This window comes from Homo sapiens, chromosome 5 (assembly GCF_000001405.40).
Source record: "Homo sapiens chromosome 5, GRCh38.p14 Primary Assembly".
NCBI lineage: Eukaryota > Metazoa > Chordata > Mammalia > Primates > Hominidae > Homo > Homo sapiens.
Window position 1 is genome coordinate 61,304,814 of NC_000005.10, and position 16,680 is coordinate 61,321,493.

General features: G+C 42.1%; 1 long non-coding RNA gene across 1 annotated transcript; it reads right to left on the reverse strand.

Annotated features, from left to right (window-relative positions):
• Positions 1–1,102: 1,102 nt before the first annotated feature.
• Positions 1,103–4,678, reverse strand: LOC105378993 (uncharacterized). Its single transcript, XR_948365.2, has 3 exons — positions 4,394–4,678; positions 3,581–3,744; positions 1,103–1,170 (listed from the first exon to the last, which is right to left on the reverse strand). It is a non-coding gene; the product is annotated as an uncharacterized LOC105378993 (long non-coding RNA).
• Positions 4,679–16,680: the final 12,002 nt, after the last annotated feature.

Genomic DNA, 16,680 nt, shown 5'->3' on the forward strand with positions numbered 1-16,680 from the left:
GTTTCAACGTCATACCATTGTCTTTAACAAAACCCTGCAAACATGTAGTGACCGAGGCATGATGCATCCTGCCTCTTGCTCTGCTATTTATCTGCTTTTCTTTTTTTAACTTTAACTTGTTCTCCTCCTATTTATTGGGCAATCACCTAGATTCTAGGAAACAAATATATTTAATTTTTCTAATCTAAAGGTTAATAAGGACTCTATCTTCTCTAGTCAGAGCCACAGGATGAACTTTCTCAACCCATCCTCTTTAAGGAAAAGAAGTTGTTGGCTGAGTCACGTGAGTGTCTGTTTACACACGTCTTATAACAGCATACAGGGTACATACACAGAGCAGCACACCTCCCCACCAGGAAGGCTGTGCTCCATATTCATGTGTCAAGTGATGTAAAGGTTGCCATGGTTATAATCTCTGTTTAGTCAATAGTGTGTGTGGGGGGGGGGGCGGGGAATCACCCCAATGGGCGTATTGCAATTTAGAGGAATCCCTGGGTACTTTTAAAGTATTGAATCACAATTTACATTTTAAAAAGTGTTGTCAATGACAGCATATTGGTTGCCATTTCTTGAAAACTCTTCTTTGTAGGAGGACCTTATGTATGCCAAGAACATCGTTTTTGCCTCCTTAGGTGAAACTTTATTTCCCACATTTAGGATTCATTAGGATTATCTAAGGTAAGTGGCAAGAGGGGAGAAGGATGAAAATCATGAGGGTGAATGTGGGAAAGGGATGAGGGAAGGTGAGCTTAATTATTTCAAAGATAATAATGAGTGAGGCTCCCAACCCCTGAAATTTGGGAGGCCAAGGTGGGAGGATTGTTTGAGTCCAGGAGTCTGAGATCAGCTTGGGCAACATAGCGAGACCTGCGTCTACAAAAATTTCTTTTTAAAAATATCAAACAGGCATGGTGGCTCTTTCCTGTAATCCCAGCTACTCAAGAGACAGAGTAGGAAGGATCCCTTGAGTCCAGAAGTTCAAGGCTGCAGTGAGCTATGATGGCAGTACTGCCCTCCAGCTGGGGAAACAGAGTGATACCTTGTCTCAAAAAAAAAAAAAAAAAAAAAAAGGAATAAAAATAAAAGTGTCAGTAATTCTTACTCTTCTTCTTGGTCTGCCACCTTCTTGCCTTGGTGACTTTTGGATCCCCCATCCCTCTGTTTTCTCATCTGTAAAATTGGAAGGATAACAGGGAGTTGCAGGGTCTACTGGGTTGCTCATAGGCATTTAGAGCACTCGCTGGCATACAGTGAGCACTCTTTAAATGCACCCAATCTTATTCATATTCTAGTCAATACACAAAGAATCTGCTGTGCTTTTGGATAGAGAGAAATGCTTCATAACAACACCATCACACATTATTGAAAAGATTTTGGTGTGATTAGGGCCGACTGACATCCAAACTTCCCTCCCACCTTTCTGGTCATATCTCCTCCTTTTCCCACACTCAGTATCTTTCCTTTATCTACTCTAAGCAGTAACATGATAAGTTATATAAATTATATGAAGATCATTAAAAGGTTTTAAAGTCACACTACATGTATGACTTCGTATTTGAAAAAGGCTCAAAACAGTAAGTGAAAAAAGTGACAGTTGGTGGAATTTTAGAAGTTGAGGGTGGAAGGTGTTTCCAAAACCCCTCAAATCACACACCCTAGATGTGGCTGCTTCCTGGATCCACTAGTGAAGCTGACTCTGGCAGGGAGTCACTTGCATTTTTCACTAACTGAGGTCCTGCTCTCTCAAATTTCACAATCTAAGGGAGAGAATCTTGATCCAGAGTGATAACAAAACAAGTAATGCAAGCTCAGCGATGTGGGATAACTCCCCTGTCCCTGGTATTAGCATGGAGGTGCTGGCCACCCTCTGGTGGAACAAGACCCATTCTTTGGCTTCAGGAACTTCACAGCTTAGTGGAAGGGACAAAACACATCAGATAGTGATAAGAAAATGTGTATGAGTAAAAGGAAGAGATAGGTATGTTGACAGAAGACAGCCTGAGGAGTTTAGAGAATAGAAACATTTCTCAAGAACTTGAAAGCGAAAGAGTCTCTTGAAAGGGTTTGTTGCACACTGCCTGAAGGCTGAGGTATGGACTGGAAAGTGACTTAGTCCAGCCCCTTCTAGCTGGGTGAGTAACTGAACACTCCAGCGTGCGGATCTTCACTGGAGAGAAATGGGAGCATGATTCATCTCTTTGACATCATCTTTAGATTTTTGGTTTAACTTTTCCTTTCCACATCAGACGCCCCTGTTGTTGGGTGGTCTGCCATGCCACTTCCTCCAAGTCCCAGCTACTTTACTCTAGGTAGAGGGCTGAGGGTAATGGATCTTATTTCAAAAGGAGAGGGGAAATTGAAACCAGAACAGCTTTGTGATGAACTGTAGGGGAATCCTTTTTTCTCTAGCAAAGGTTTCCCAAGGCTGGTGTCTCCAGCTTGGAGCTTGATCGTGTGTGGTGTGTGTGTGTGTGTGTGTGTGTGCATGTGTGTGTGTGTGTGTGTGTTTGTATTTGGTGAGAGTTAACCATTCAAAATGGAAATCCTTTCATAATTTGATCTAGTTATGCAAACACAGCCCATTGATGTTAACAAATAGAGACCAGATGCAAATAACCCACTCGGGCATAACATGGAATAACTAGCAGAAGTTAAAGCAAACCGTCTCCTCCCCACTGCCCTATTACCTCATAAGAATTCCTTCCATTTGGAAATAAGCAAGAGGAAAAGAAAAAAAATGGGACTATTAAGATGTCTCAGTCTTAAAATGATAGCAATAATAGAGTAGCCTGGATCACACAAGATTGCCGTGTAAACAACTGAAGAATTTCAGAATTATGTGGAATTAGACATGCATCCCTAAAAAAGGTTAGGTGCTCATGAATGTGCATAACACAAGGAAAAATTAATTACAACAGGAAAACAACTCCAAATGGAAGTCTGCAATTCAATGATTCATAGCCAGGGTGTTCAGAAGAAAACTTGGTTCTCTACAACTCATTGAATAGGGTGTCACTGGATATGGTAAAATTTTATGACATTCCCTGGGGCTCTGAGTGTTTTAACTGTTCTGCATAGACAGCCAAGCCATTACAGGGTGAGGCCTAACACAGGGAATCCTAGAATGGTAATGGTATTGCCATTTTCTGTAGAAAACAAGGTTTTAGTTGAATAAAAAGAGGTAGTTGATATAAATAAGCTCACAGGAAGTCTCCAAACCTTTGAGGTGACTACCATTGCTGCCACTTTTCCCAGAATGCCATTGCTTTATGAATGGCTTTTTGACCAAGAGGCTAAAGAACTCTTGACTTGTGTAGATTTTCTACTTTTTGAATAATGCTTAATTTTTAAAGCTTGTGTGTGTGTGTGTGTGTGTGTGTGTGTGTGTGTGTGTGTGTGTGTGTATGGCAGGCTCTAGGACTTGTGGGCCCAGGGAAAATTCATAGGTGGCTGAGAATAAAAAGAAGAGTTAAGTTTGAAAAAAGAGATAGCAACACTTCAGTTTAGGAAAATCAGACTCTGGAAAAGCATTTGGGTGAAATCTTCCCGATTTAGTTGTAGGACAGAATTAGACACAAACCAGGAAATCTCCAGAAGGTGCTCAGGAGATGCTGATAGAACGAAACCCTGAAGCTCCTTCTGTGAGGTTCTCCAGCACTTCAATATTATTAGCAGGAAATTCTTCCGAAAGTCAACACCAAATTCCTTCTGCAGCGATTTTAGCACATTCTCTCCCTTCCGACTCTAAAGAGAAACAGGAAAGATGCTGATATTGCTGTTCTCACATTTCTATTAAACTTGCCCTCAATCTTCCATTTTGTGAACTAAATAATTTTTTAAGCTTTTCCCTCAAAAAGGTAATTTCACAAACATTTTCATGTGCCAGTCTTGAGTCACAAAGGTTTAGAAATAACTTACTTATTACCATACAGACAGAGCTATACTGAGATAAATACTGTGCTTAGTTCATAAAGGGGCTGCTTCGTGTTGAAATTCCTGCATCCTGGGCAGCCACTGCCAGCACTGTAGGTTTCTTTCTGTGGTCTCCCTTGAGCCTGAATGAAGGTGATGGCTGATGAGCCAGACTAATAAAATGTACCCTTGCACTGATTAAACATCCATTTTCTTGGGGAGATGGCTGACAAGAGCAGGAGAAAGCTGTGAGGAAGCTTGTAGCAATTTCACAAATCTACCCCTAGCAGTGAGCTTTATCTGAGTGCTTAGAGCCACTCTGAGCAAAACAATGGGTGTTGAAAATGGACCAGGGAGAAAATTAAGAAATGACAAGCTTGTTTTCTTAAAGTAAGAGGAAAGCTTCTCTTGTTAGGTTTTTCTAGAGTGTTCTCATGAAGGGAAACAGAACGTTTCACTTTAACAAGATGCATCGTCTAACCATGAGGCACAGGGAAACAGGGCAAGCAGGTTGCAAGCAGGCAGGGTGAGCTCCAGTTATCTGCTTGAGGGCTTTGATCTCAGTTGCAATGGACAAGGCAGAAGCAGGAGCCGGGAACCTTCTAGGAGGGAAGAGAAAGAAGAATTGAGCACCGCAACATAGTGACCGCCTTAAAATCCTCAAGCCACCTGTGAATGATGGTGTAGGTGCTGATGGGGGTGAGGGAGTCCCCAGGATAGAGGTGGTAAGTGGAGAGAGTTGTTGTTCTTGTTTTTAAAAGGTAACACAAAAGACTTTGACTAGGGCTGTGCTGTTTACAGTAGCCACTAGCCACATGTAGCTACTGGGCACTTAAAATGTGCTGTATTTGTAAAAACACACACCAAAATTCAAAGACATATTTTTAAAAAGTAAAATATATTATTAATCCTTTTTTTACTATATGTTAAAATGATAATACTTTGGGTTGATTGGGTTAAATAAAATACACGACTAAAATGAATGCTATAACATGGATGAACTTTGAAAACATTGTGCTAAGGGAAAGAAGCCAGACACAAAAGGCTACCCATTGCATGATTCCATTTATATGAAATGGCCAATAGGCAAATCCGTAGAGACAAAAGGTAGATTAGTGGTTGCCTAGGGCTGGGGAGATTTGGAGGGAAATGGAAAGTGGGTGCAATGGTATGGGGTTTCTTTATGGGGTGAAAAAAAATTCTAATATTGATCATGAGGCCATGCCTGTAATCCTAGCACTTTGGGAGGCCAAAATGGGAAGATCAGTTGAGGCCAGGAGTTCGAGACCAGCCTGGCCAACATAGTGAGAAACTATCTCTACAAAATAGAAAAAGTTAGCAGGGCATGGTGGTGCGCACCTGTGTTCCCACCTACTTGGGAAGCTGAGGTGAGAGGATGGCTTGAGTCTAGGAGTTCAAGGCTGCAGTGAGCTATGATCACACTACTGCACTCCAACCTGAACAGAGCAAGACCCTGACACCAAAAAAAAGAAAAAAAAATTGACTGTGGTGTGATTGTAGAACTCTATGAACACAGACTGGGCACGGTGGCTCATGCCTGTAATCCCAACATTTTGGGAGGCTGAGGTGGGCGGATCACTTGAGGTCAAGAGTTAGAGACCAGCCTGGCCAAAATGGCAAAACCCCGTCTCTACTAAAAATACAAAAAATTAGCCAGTCGTGGTGGGACGTGCCTGTAGTCCCAGCTACTCGGGAGGCTGAGGCAGGAGAATCACTTGAACCCAGGAGGTGGAGGTTGCAGTGAGCCGAGATCACGCCACTGCACCCCAGCCTGGGTGACAGAGTGAGACTCTGTCTCGATATAATAATAATAATAATAATAATAAGAAGAAGAAGAAGAAGAAGAAGAAGAAGAAGAAGAAGAAGAAGAAGAAGAAGAAGAAGAAGAACTCTGTGAACATACTAAACGGCACACTTTAAATGGGTGACTCGTATGGTGTGTGTATTATATCTGGACAATGCTGTTTAAATAAATAAGTAAATTGGGATGCAAAAATCTCTAATATTACCTGTTTTAAAACCTTTTAAAATATGGCTAATAGGAAACTTAAAATTACATAACTGGCATTATATTTCTATTGGACCTGCTAGGCTGAGGGGACCGAGGATGAAGACTCTGGGCCAACCTGGGGCTAGTGGTACCCAAAGCGAAGGTCATAAACACAGGGCAGAAGAGCAGCCAGAAATGCTCAGCTGTGGTGCAGAGCAAGAAGGAATGAAGGATTGGGGAGAGGGGCTTGAGACTAAGGATGAAACTCCTGGACTGGGGCTGGCCTCTGCACTGAGGGCCAGCAATGGGACTGATGGCTGACTAGAATTTCTTGCCCCTAGGCAAACAGAGGGAGCTATCTTCAGTCATCTCTCCAGAGCTCTTATCAGCTCAGATGATAAAAGGTGGGGCATTTCCCTTTAGGTAACATTGATTTAAAAAAAAAATGGTGGGGCAGAGCTGCCCTACCTTTCCGCAGGTGGCTGCTCTAATTGCCTCAGGCCCTGGCCGGCAGCCCCCAGGGCCAAGAGGATCCCTATCTTAACCCATCTGTAATGTATTTGCATACCTGTAACCCAGGCTTGCTAAACTGCTGCAGGCAAGCCGGGAAGCTCTGGCCTTGTCCTGGGGGATGTAAACTTTTTCAGGAAGTATTAGCCAGGAGAGCTGTCAGACCTATTTATGAAATGCCATAAACAAACCCTAGTGCTTGTCCGAGGTTTGGGTGACACAGCATAAGGGAAAGCCTTGGGTGCCTTCTTGGCATCCTCTCTCCAGCCCAGGTTTCCTTCCAGTTCAGTTCCCCTCTTCACACGCCCCCCACCCAAAACACAACAGTATTTCAAAGGAGATACTGGCTCACTGGATGATGGATGAGGAACCTACACTTAGGGTCCCCACTGCCCCCCGTCACCAAAAGAAAGGACCTCATGGCTTGCTTCTGGAGACAGAAAAGTGACTGGACTGAAGGACAGAATGGGTGAATTAAGCCAGATGAGCTGTAACCCCGAAGGCCTAGTTCTGGAGGAGGGGTCAGTAGCCTAGAAAGGAGACAAAATCAAGAACACTATACTTGGCAGTGGCTGTTTCAATCTTACAATTACAAAGTGAATATCTGACATTATTCTGTATTTTATCTGAGCTATGTCCTGAAATTTTCTCCCATTGCAGTAAACATTAATTTTTCTCTTGACTGTGTCTCATGCTTCAGGGACAGGGTGGATAGCAAGCATAGACAATGGAGTAGGTACAGTTTATGAACCTAAGGGCACTGTCTGGGGCAAAGCCACATCCCCTGCTGTCCTGTCCAGGCGTAGCAACAGTAGAAAGTTAACTGTGTTCAATGAAGGTATACACAGGAGACACAAAAGACAGCATCATCTGCATGCCTGCAAGCTTCTGGAGGACAAGGCTTGCAAATTGTTCCTCTCCATATCTCCACCATAGGGTCATAGGCACATGCTAAGTACTCAAGAAATACTCGTGGATGGATGTGCAGATGGATGGATGTGACACATAGTAGTTACTTAATGTAGGTGTTATGTAATGATATCATATTTTGAGTAGTTGATGATGAAGAGAAAGGATGAAAGCTTTCATTTTTGCAACAGGAAAATAAATTCTGGATATATTAAACTAAAACAAATATAATAGCATATAGCATATTCAGTTTCGTCATCCAATTTTTTTCCAAACAGTGCTTAGATATGTTAGGTAAGGGTGGAAAGGGAAAAAAGTGCCCAGTACAGCTCATGAAGCCTCTTTCTCACCGGATCTTGTAAAATGCAAGCTACTTAGGAGTGGACGAATGACTTAACGATGATGTTGTCAGGGCCCTCTGAATAAATATTGCCTTTTCCATTCCCACCGTGGGTACTACAAGTACCACTGGCACCTTGTCAAGAGGTTGAGATCTCCTCATTCTTATCTTCTGAGTCAGGCAGCACAAGATGGTATAAACACTCGTTCAAAATGCACTTGAATATTCCATCCCTTGTCCTTGCATTTACACTGTTTTCTTGCAGCTGAAAGCCTAACAGCTAGTAAGTAGAAAAGGAGAGGACAGAACCATCCAAAAGTCAGCCTTTCCTTCTTAAGGAGAGCCCTCGGTGGGGTTTGTCCATCAAATGGTAGCCTCCCTAACTGCGTCTTCACTCTTTTTTCCTTTGCCACCCAGTATCGAGACACTTCTCATTTCTCAGAAGCAAGGAACTTCAGAATTGGTTTCGGCTTTACGATTCTCTTTCAGCAGCCATCCCGACAATCTATAAGACGAAATAATCACTCAGGACAGCAGGGACTTTAGAACTGATTGAAAGTCATTGATGACCAGGCACGATGGCTCATGACTGTAATCCCAGCATTTTGGGAGGCCGAGGTGGGCAGATTACTTGAGGTTAGGAGTTGGAGACCAGCCTGGCCAACATGGTGAAACCCCGTCTTTACAAAAAATAAAATGAAAAAATTAGCTGGGCATGGTGGCACACACCTGTAGTCCCAGCTACTTGGGAGGCTGAGGCAGGACAATTGCTTGAACCCGGGAGGTTGCAGCACCAAGATCGTGCCACTGCACTCCAGCCTGGGCGATAAAGTGAGACTCCATCTCAAAAACAAAAAAAAAAGAAAAAGAAAAAAAAAGAAAGAAAGTAAGAAAAGAAAAGGAAAAGAAAGTCACTGATTGTTGTCAGTAGCCAGGGCAGTAGTAGGTTATAGAATAGAGAATGAGGCAATTCTTTCTGGCCAAGGATCCTGTTCCATAAGTGAGTTGGCTTTTTGGCAGTTAAGAATCCATATTTGGTTGGGCGCGGTGGCTCACGTCTACAATCCCAGGACTTTGGGATGCCGAGGCAGATGGATTACTGGAGGTCAGGAGTTCAAGACCAGCCTGGTCAACATGGCGAAACCCCAACTCTACTAAAAGTACAAAAATTAGCAGGGCGTGGTGGTGCACGCCTGTACTCCCAACTACTGGGGCAGCTGAGGCGGGAGGATTGCTTGAATCCAGGAGGTGGAGGTTTCAGTGAGCTGAGATTGTGCTACTGCACTCCAGTCTGGGCGACAGAGCAAGACTCTGTCTCAAAAAAAAAAAAAAAAAAACAGTCAGGATACAGAAAAAATTTCTATCTCCGTATACTTTTATGAGGGAGCTTACAAGGCTCATCTGGATTATTTGAAGGCAGGATACTTCAAAGGAAGCAAAAATATGCTATTTTCAGATTTAACTTAGATTTCTAAAAATTCTGTGCAACTCTCTTATGTGGGTATGTGACACACCAGTAAATAGGGTGCATGTGACCCTGGCAGGGTGAGCTAAGAAAGTTGGATTCCTTGAAGGAAATAACTTTCTGTGATATCATGACTGGCGGGGGACTGCTGGTGGGGGATGACTGGCAGAGGATGTGCAGGTGCAGCTGGATGGAAGCCCTTGGCATTGGGGCTCCTGTCATGCATCCAAATCCCCAGTGCCCCTATTCCTCCACCCAGGTCATTCCTGCTCATGATATCAGTACTCTGACTCACAAGTAGCCTGCAGCAGCTGAAAGGAAATGATGTGGCAACTGTGTCTGAAGTCTGGTTAAATGCTGGAGACAGAAAAGAAAATCCATTTGAAAATATGTTGCTGTATTTTACAAAAAGGCTGTGCAAGATTTAAAAAGTATGTTTAGCATTCCAAGTATTTTCCCTTCTGTGTCTTCAGAGACCATCTCTGAGAGTGATGTTTTGTTTATTTAACATTTAATCAAAAGAGATGTGGACCCCACCAGCTTTTGAACAACAGATTCAGTAGCACTGCCTCTTGCATTAAGTTTGAAGAGAAACTTCAACCACACAGAGAATTTGATGTCTGTAATATGCACTAAAAGATCAGCTGGTCTAACTTTACAGGGCTAATAAAAGGGAAAAGTTTTCCTGTGCTCAGGTCTTTTATGAATTATAAATAACCATTCACTTTGGAAGATAGCACATCATAAAATTTTTTTACAAATATGCACAAATCCATTTTAAGATCCAAGGAAAAAGATGTTCAAAAGTCTCAGATGTACTCAGTTTTGATTTCGTAGGGAAACATGTTCTTTTACCATATGGATGCTTTTAAGGGGGCCTTCAGCTGGGGCTCAATAATGACACCCCAGTGGCTAAATAAGGGATTTCTTTCCTTCTAACATTATTTCTCTGTTATTAAAGGTGGAAAAACCTTCCACAAATAGCATACTATTAGAGTGCTTTAGGGGGTATCCTGGGAATCAAGGTTATGTGTCTGCTCCAGAAGTACTGTCTGTAATTATCATTCCTCCGTGGTTCTGAGGATGCAGTCTTGGTGTTTTCATTAATTTTTTCATTCTACAAGTCTGGAGTGTGTGTCTGCTCTTGATATTCAATATTTCACAGTAGGAATTTTGTTATTGTTGCTGTTTTTAGGGTCACAGATCTCTCCCCTCTCTTTTCCTCTCATAATAACCATTTCCTGGCTTCTTTTGCCCACTAAAATAAAAAGGTATGAAAGGCCAGATTTGAAAAGAAAAAGAATTCAGATATGACATTTTTCCAATTCCAGCCTTCATCTTCCCTCTTTATAATCTGCTAGTATGAGCATTAAAAAATAGAGCATTCAGATCTACCAAACACCTGAAGAGGGTTCATGGGTCAGAAGAGCACATAGATTTCCTCCCAGCACTTTGTTATCAGTATTTTCAAATATGCACCACATTAAAAGAATTTTACAGTGAACACCTATATGCCCATGATCTAGTTGTAGATTCTGCTATTAATACTTGACTCTTCTTGCTTTATCACATATTTATACAGCCCTCCTCCATTAATTCATCTTATTTTTTCATGTGTTTAAAAGTAAATTATAGGCATCCACCAATTTCTACTTAAAAACTTCAGTTTGATATTTACTTTTTTCATTTGATATGAAATTTACAGATTTTAAACTGTAAACACTAAGTGTCCAGTTTCGGAGTTTTGACAAATATATCCCTGTGTGCCCAAACCCTTACTGAGATATAAAATATTGTCATCACCTGGGAAGGTCCCTCATTTATCTTTCCTGTCAATCCCTGTTCCTAATCCCTTTCCCAAACCCAGAGGCAACCACTGTTTTGATTTTTTTCACCACAGATTAGCTTTGTCTATTCCATAATTTCATATGAATGGGTCAAATAGGATGAATTCTTTGTGTAAGACTTCTTTCACTCAGCATAATCTTTTTGAGATTTGTTGACGTTATTGTGTGAACAGTAGTAGCTCATTCTTTTATACTGCTAAGTAGTATTCCATTGTATGACTAAACCACAGTTTGCACACTTATTTTCTCTCTCTCTCTCTCTCTCTCTCTCTATCTTTGAGATGGAGCTTCACTCTGTTGCCCAGGGTGGAGTGCAGTGGCGTGATCTCAGGTCACTGCAAGCGGGTTCAAGCGATTCTCTTGCCTCAGCCTCTTGAGTAGCTGGGATTACGGGCACTCACCACCACACTCGGCTATTTTCTGCATTTTTAGTAGAGACAGGGTTTTCACCAGGTTGGCCAGGCTGGTCTTGAACTCCTGACTTCAAGTGATCCGCCTGCATTGGCCTCCCAAAGTGCTGGGATTACAGCAGTGAGCCACCGTGCCCGGCCCCTGTGCATTCGTTCTCTTCTTGATGGATACCTGGGCTGTATTCAGTTTTTGACTATTACTTATAGAGCTGCTATGAACACTCTTATACAAGTATTTTGATAAACATATGTTTTCATTTCCCTTAGGAAAAGACCTACTTATGTAATTGCAGGATCACAGCTAGTATATATTTAGTTTCTGAAGAAAATGCTATTTATTTTTCCAAAGTTGATGTACCATTTTATGTTCATATCAACAATGTATGGGAGTCCCAGTTGCTCCCCATCTTTGCTGACATTTAGTGTATTCAGTCTTTATATTTTAAGCCATCCTGGCAGTAGTGATACTTCAGGTTTTAATTTGCATTTTCCTAATGACTAAAGATATTGAGCACGTTGTCATGTGCTTATCTGCCATTTATATATCTTCTTTGGTAGAGTGTCTTCCATCCATTCAAAAAATGTTTTCTCTTTATTAATAAGTGGGAGTCCTTTACATATCCTGGATATCAGTCCTCTGTCAAGTTTATGTTTTGTAAATAATTTCTTCCAGTCTATGTCTTGACTATTCATTTTTTAATGGTCTCTTTTCATGAGAGGTTTTTTATTTTGCTTAAATCTAATTTATCAATTTTTTTGTGGTTATTGCTCTAGGTGGCCTAAACAAAGCACATTGATATTAATAAATGGTGTTCACAAAATGTGTTGTAGGCTCAAGATAATCCAAAGCTTCACTGTGGTCACTGTAACAGAAGTATTTCCCTAAAGAAACTTCCATGTCCGTACATACTGGGAACAACTGAGGAAAACCTGGTGATCTGTTTACACTCTCAAGAGCATCCCAGAGAATGAATACAACTCTAGACCTCCCTTTTCACTTTGTTTTATAGTAAGAAGCTTTCTGTTTTGACGGCTGGAAGGAGTCGCCACAGGCAAAACTACCTGGTCATGGCCTTGTTCTGGAATCAAGTCAGCCTTTGTGCTTATAAGCAGGATAAAGTAGATTATTTTAATAATTCATTTTTAATCCATATTTTAATAAGCATATGTTATTGAGATCATACTTAAAATAGTTTAATATATGGCATGAATGAATAAAAATAGACTCCCCAGAAGCTTTAAAAACATTCAAAGAAAGAAATCCACAGAGAGACCCAGGTGTCAGTGATGACATGGGGCAAAATTAAGAGCAGATTGAAAGTGGGAATCGTCTGCTATGAAGAAAGTAGGACTTGGGAAAATAGAGCTCTACTGAAGGAATACAACGATTCTTTAGTGTTGTTTTTAGGCTACACATTGAAGGGTTTCCCAAGATTTTACCCTGGTCTCTTTGCCAACTGCTCTGCTTGTCAGTGAAGCTGTTTGATTTCTCTCTTTGTTTCTTGTTCGAACCAAAAGGACACTCAATACAGACATGACATTTTGAAAACTAAACTCACATCTTTTTCACCCTAACTTCATTGTTGTTTTGGCCTACTTTCTCTTAGACACTTTCTTGAGGGTTCAGGCTGAATGTGGTCTTTCAAACTTTCAAACTCCCTTGAGTACCTCTTTCTGTGATTCCATTCCTAGTGATCATTAATGGTCTGCAACTGCTTCTTTATTTGTGGGGTATCTCGGGCCTTTTGCTTCTTCGGTTTTCTACTTTTTATCATTAAAAATCCCCCCCCCCCTTTATTCGAGACTGATTTAGGAAAAGAAAGGGATGAAACTTAAATGAATGAACTGCTGTTTGATTGCAGGTTAAAATTAGTGGCCAAGTTTTTGTTTGTTGTTGATCTAGTAGACTTTTATAAACCAAAACTAACTGTATGATTCTCATTGGAAGTTATGTTGAAATATGAGATATGAAGAGAGTACCAATTCACAAAGCCCTGGACTGTTCTAACCCTAGGGAATACTTGATGGTGGCTGTGTGGGTGTGCCTGCCAGGCTGGGAAAGGATCTAGCGTAATGGTGAGTTTTGTAACACACCAGCCCAGGTCCAACTGCTTGAGTAGGAAGAGTAGAGGTAGGTGGTTAGTTTTGTGGCCTCCCGGATCTGTTCCTGAAGAAAGCAGATAAGTTCAGGAAGGGAGAAGTCTAGGTTCTAAGTTAGAAATGTCAAGTAGGACTTCGAGGCCTCTGAAATAAAGATGTGTCCTAAGTAACTAACACACAAACATGATGGAAGTAATCATACGGGAGAAACGAGTGGGGTTAAAATCACAGGGCCACATGACAAATTATGTCTGGCTATGCCAGTGGGTTAAATCACTTCCTAAGATGTTGCCAACAGCACAAATATCTGTATTTAGCATCACATGCAACCAAAGAATTAACCAAACATACTCTCCAAGTTTCTTCCCCTTTGGAATAGTAATTCCTGCTATTACAGTGTTTCCACTAAGGCACTGGAGGATCCAGGGCAAAGTCTAATTGTGGTGGGTTCCACTGGCCTGCAGTGTGGGCAGCATTAAGCGGGTACCCGAATGTGGTGGGGGAGGACTGTGAAGCTCTATTTTCTGTGCAGCTCTTCGGGAAGTCCTGTTGCCAGCCCTCCTCAAACATCATTTTCTGCTCATGAATATTATCTTTTATACCAATAGAGGTGGGAGGGGGAACTACCCAGAATTCAGTCTCAAAATCTTTTATCCTTTTCTCTCATTTACTTCAAAATGTATATAAAGTAAAATGCAGCACCCACCAAAAACCATTTCAGCCTGAAACTAAACGCAAGCTCTTTAGCTTGACTATGGGGTCCTTCATGGGCAGAAGGGTTGGATAGAGGAAATGAATTATAGGGGGATGCTTTGCTTTGATTACTACCAGAGTTTAGCAGGAACATCTGGCTTATTTGCAGTTAGATTTTCTGCAGGGAGGGTTCAGCCATTGCTACCATAGCTCTTAGTACCATAAGGTTTATCTGAATCTCTGAATATCTATGCTCTTGCAAGATCCAAATTTCCCTTAAAGTTGATATTTGTCTTTCATTTGTTTCCTAATTAGCATTCAGATTTCAGCCCAAGAGTGCACTGCCAGAGGCATAACACCTCCCTTGGTGGGGACCTTTGTTGGCAGCATTCTAAAATGAATTCATAGGACTGTTCTCTGATTTTCAACTTTGCTTTTGATACAAGGTCTGTGAATGTTTAGTTGACAATACGTGTGCGCCTCTCTCATTTCCTGTTTTTAAGGGCTGCACTTAATTTATTTGAAAGGGTGGAATATTTTAAATTACAATTCAGCAGTTTTACTAAGGAAGGCTGTAAAACACAATGAGCAAGGAGTTTTACTTCCTCCTTCCAACTGCTACTCCCTGTTTTGAAATCTTGATGTCCTCCAATCAATGGGAATGACTTTAACTTACACTGTAACATTTTTAACAGCAACCACGCCATGGCTGGAGCTGCAGAGGGGCATGGGATTCCTGCACACTGTAATTCCATTTTTCCAGACGCCTTATTAGTACACGGAATGCGTCTGCCTGTGCTTGATATTGTTCTATCTTGTTAAGTCCCCTCCCCCAGGCAGAGCATTTGGATTGGTTAAGGAATACAGTCGCTTAGCCAATCAAGTGAAACCTTTCTCCTGCAACCCTAGCAACACCTGTCATTGACAAATGTTAAGAGAAAACCCCTGACAAACCCAACCAGCCCTTGAAAATGGTCCCTGTCAAGGGCAAGTAGGGCTACTCCTACCCACAGAGCACTTTCTGTGGCCAGAGGAGTTAGTGGTTTGTATCAGACCTGCAAAAACAGAACCTGGATGTGGCTGCAGGTGCTTGAGTCTAGGGCCCTATTCCGATCTGCTGTCAATTTCAGCGAAACTGACTTTTGTTAGCCAAAGCCGGTGTTGGAGCTTGGGGTTGTGGGGGGTGGGTGGTTGTCTATGGTGGGGTGGCAGCCGGGTAGTGTGCTCATATTCTCCCATACCAACCAGACCCCCATACCCACCAGAATATTTTCAGTGGCTGGAGGAAGAGTTCACATACAACTTCGGCTCCAGGGTCACACTTCTGTCACTGATGCTAATTTGTTTTGCAGGGCATGGCAAGAGGAGAATTTTCTGAGGGCAGCAAGATACCTGGCTATGTCCCCAGTGGCGCCTTTCCAAGACTTCTGGCTACACATCTTTCACCTCCCAGCCTCGTGCTGAACACTGTTGGGGTGCAGTTGGCCTGCCTGCCTCACCCGTGGGCATATTGGGACACTCCTGTCAGGGTGTAGTTAGACCTAAAAGAGCTCTCACCCCTCTCAGGGAGGCTTCATGACTGAGGAATCTGAAGGCAGATCTGGCAGAAGCTGGGAAGGGGAAGGGAATGGAGAGTAAGAAGGGGGACCTGCCAAAAACATGCACAGACAGTTCGTAGGCAAATGCATGTTCCCACAAAAGACATAATAGCTGTGTGTGTATGATACCCTGCTGAAGTCCCCTTATATGATCATTCCAGTTAGTCTAGCCACCTTGAAAACATATTTCAAACCCTGGTTGAGTAATCCATTGTGCCATGATTAGCTGTTAATGAAGCTGAAAATATCTAAATCATCCAACAAGTAATCTGAATTAATTTTTTATGATTACCACTTCTAGACAAGCTGGTGTCAGGACAAAGAAAGACCTGGGCATACAGACAGAGACATTCACACATGCAGATAAAACGTGTACACACAAGCATGCACACAGATAAACTTAGGCCAGAGGAGCAAAGGAGGAACAAGGGGGAAAAAGTAAAAGGGGAACTTTAAAGACAGTCCATGAATTGAACAGTGTGAAATCTTGTGTCAGACCTGTAAAAACAGAACCTGGATGTGGATGCTAGGGCTTGAGTCTAGGGCCCTACTCTGATCTGCCACCATTTCAGTGAAACTGACTTTTGTTAGTCAAAGCGAGTGTTGGAGCTGGGAGTGGGGGTCTGTGGTGGGACTCTTCAATTCACGGACTCTCCTTAGTGAAGTTCATTTGGTCCTCTCCAATCCCCAGCGTCCCTTTTCCTCCTAGCACCATCCTTCAAGGCCTGTCCTGAATTTAATTTTCCACCGGAGGTTGGCACATAGCTTAAGGCATCCCTTGGGAGCATAAACTGGTAATGACTTGAAATCTTAACCCCTAAAAGGATATTGATATTTTTTCAAAAGGTGCTCAGGAAGGTGTAAAAGAATTAAATCTCTAATGGC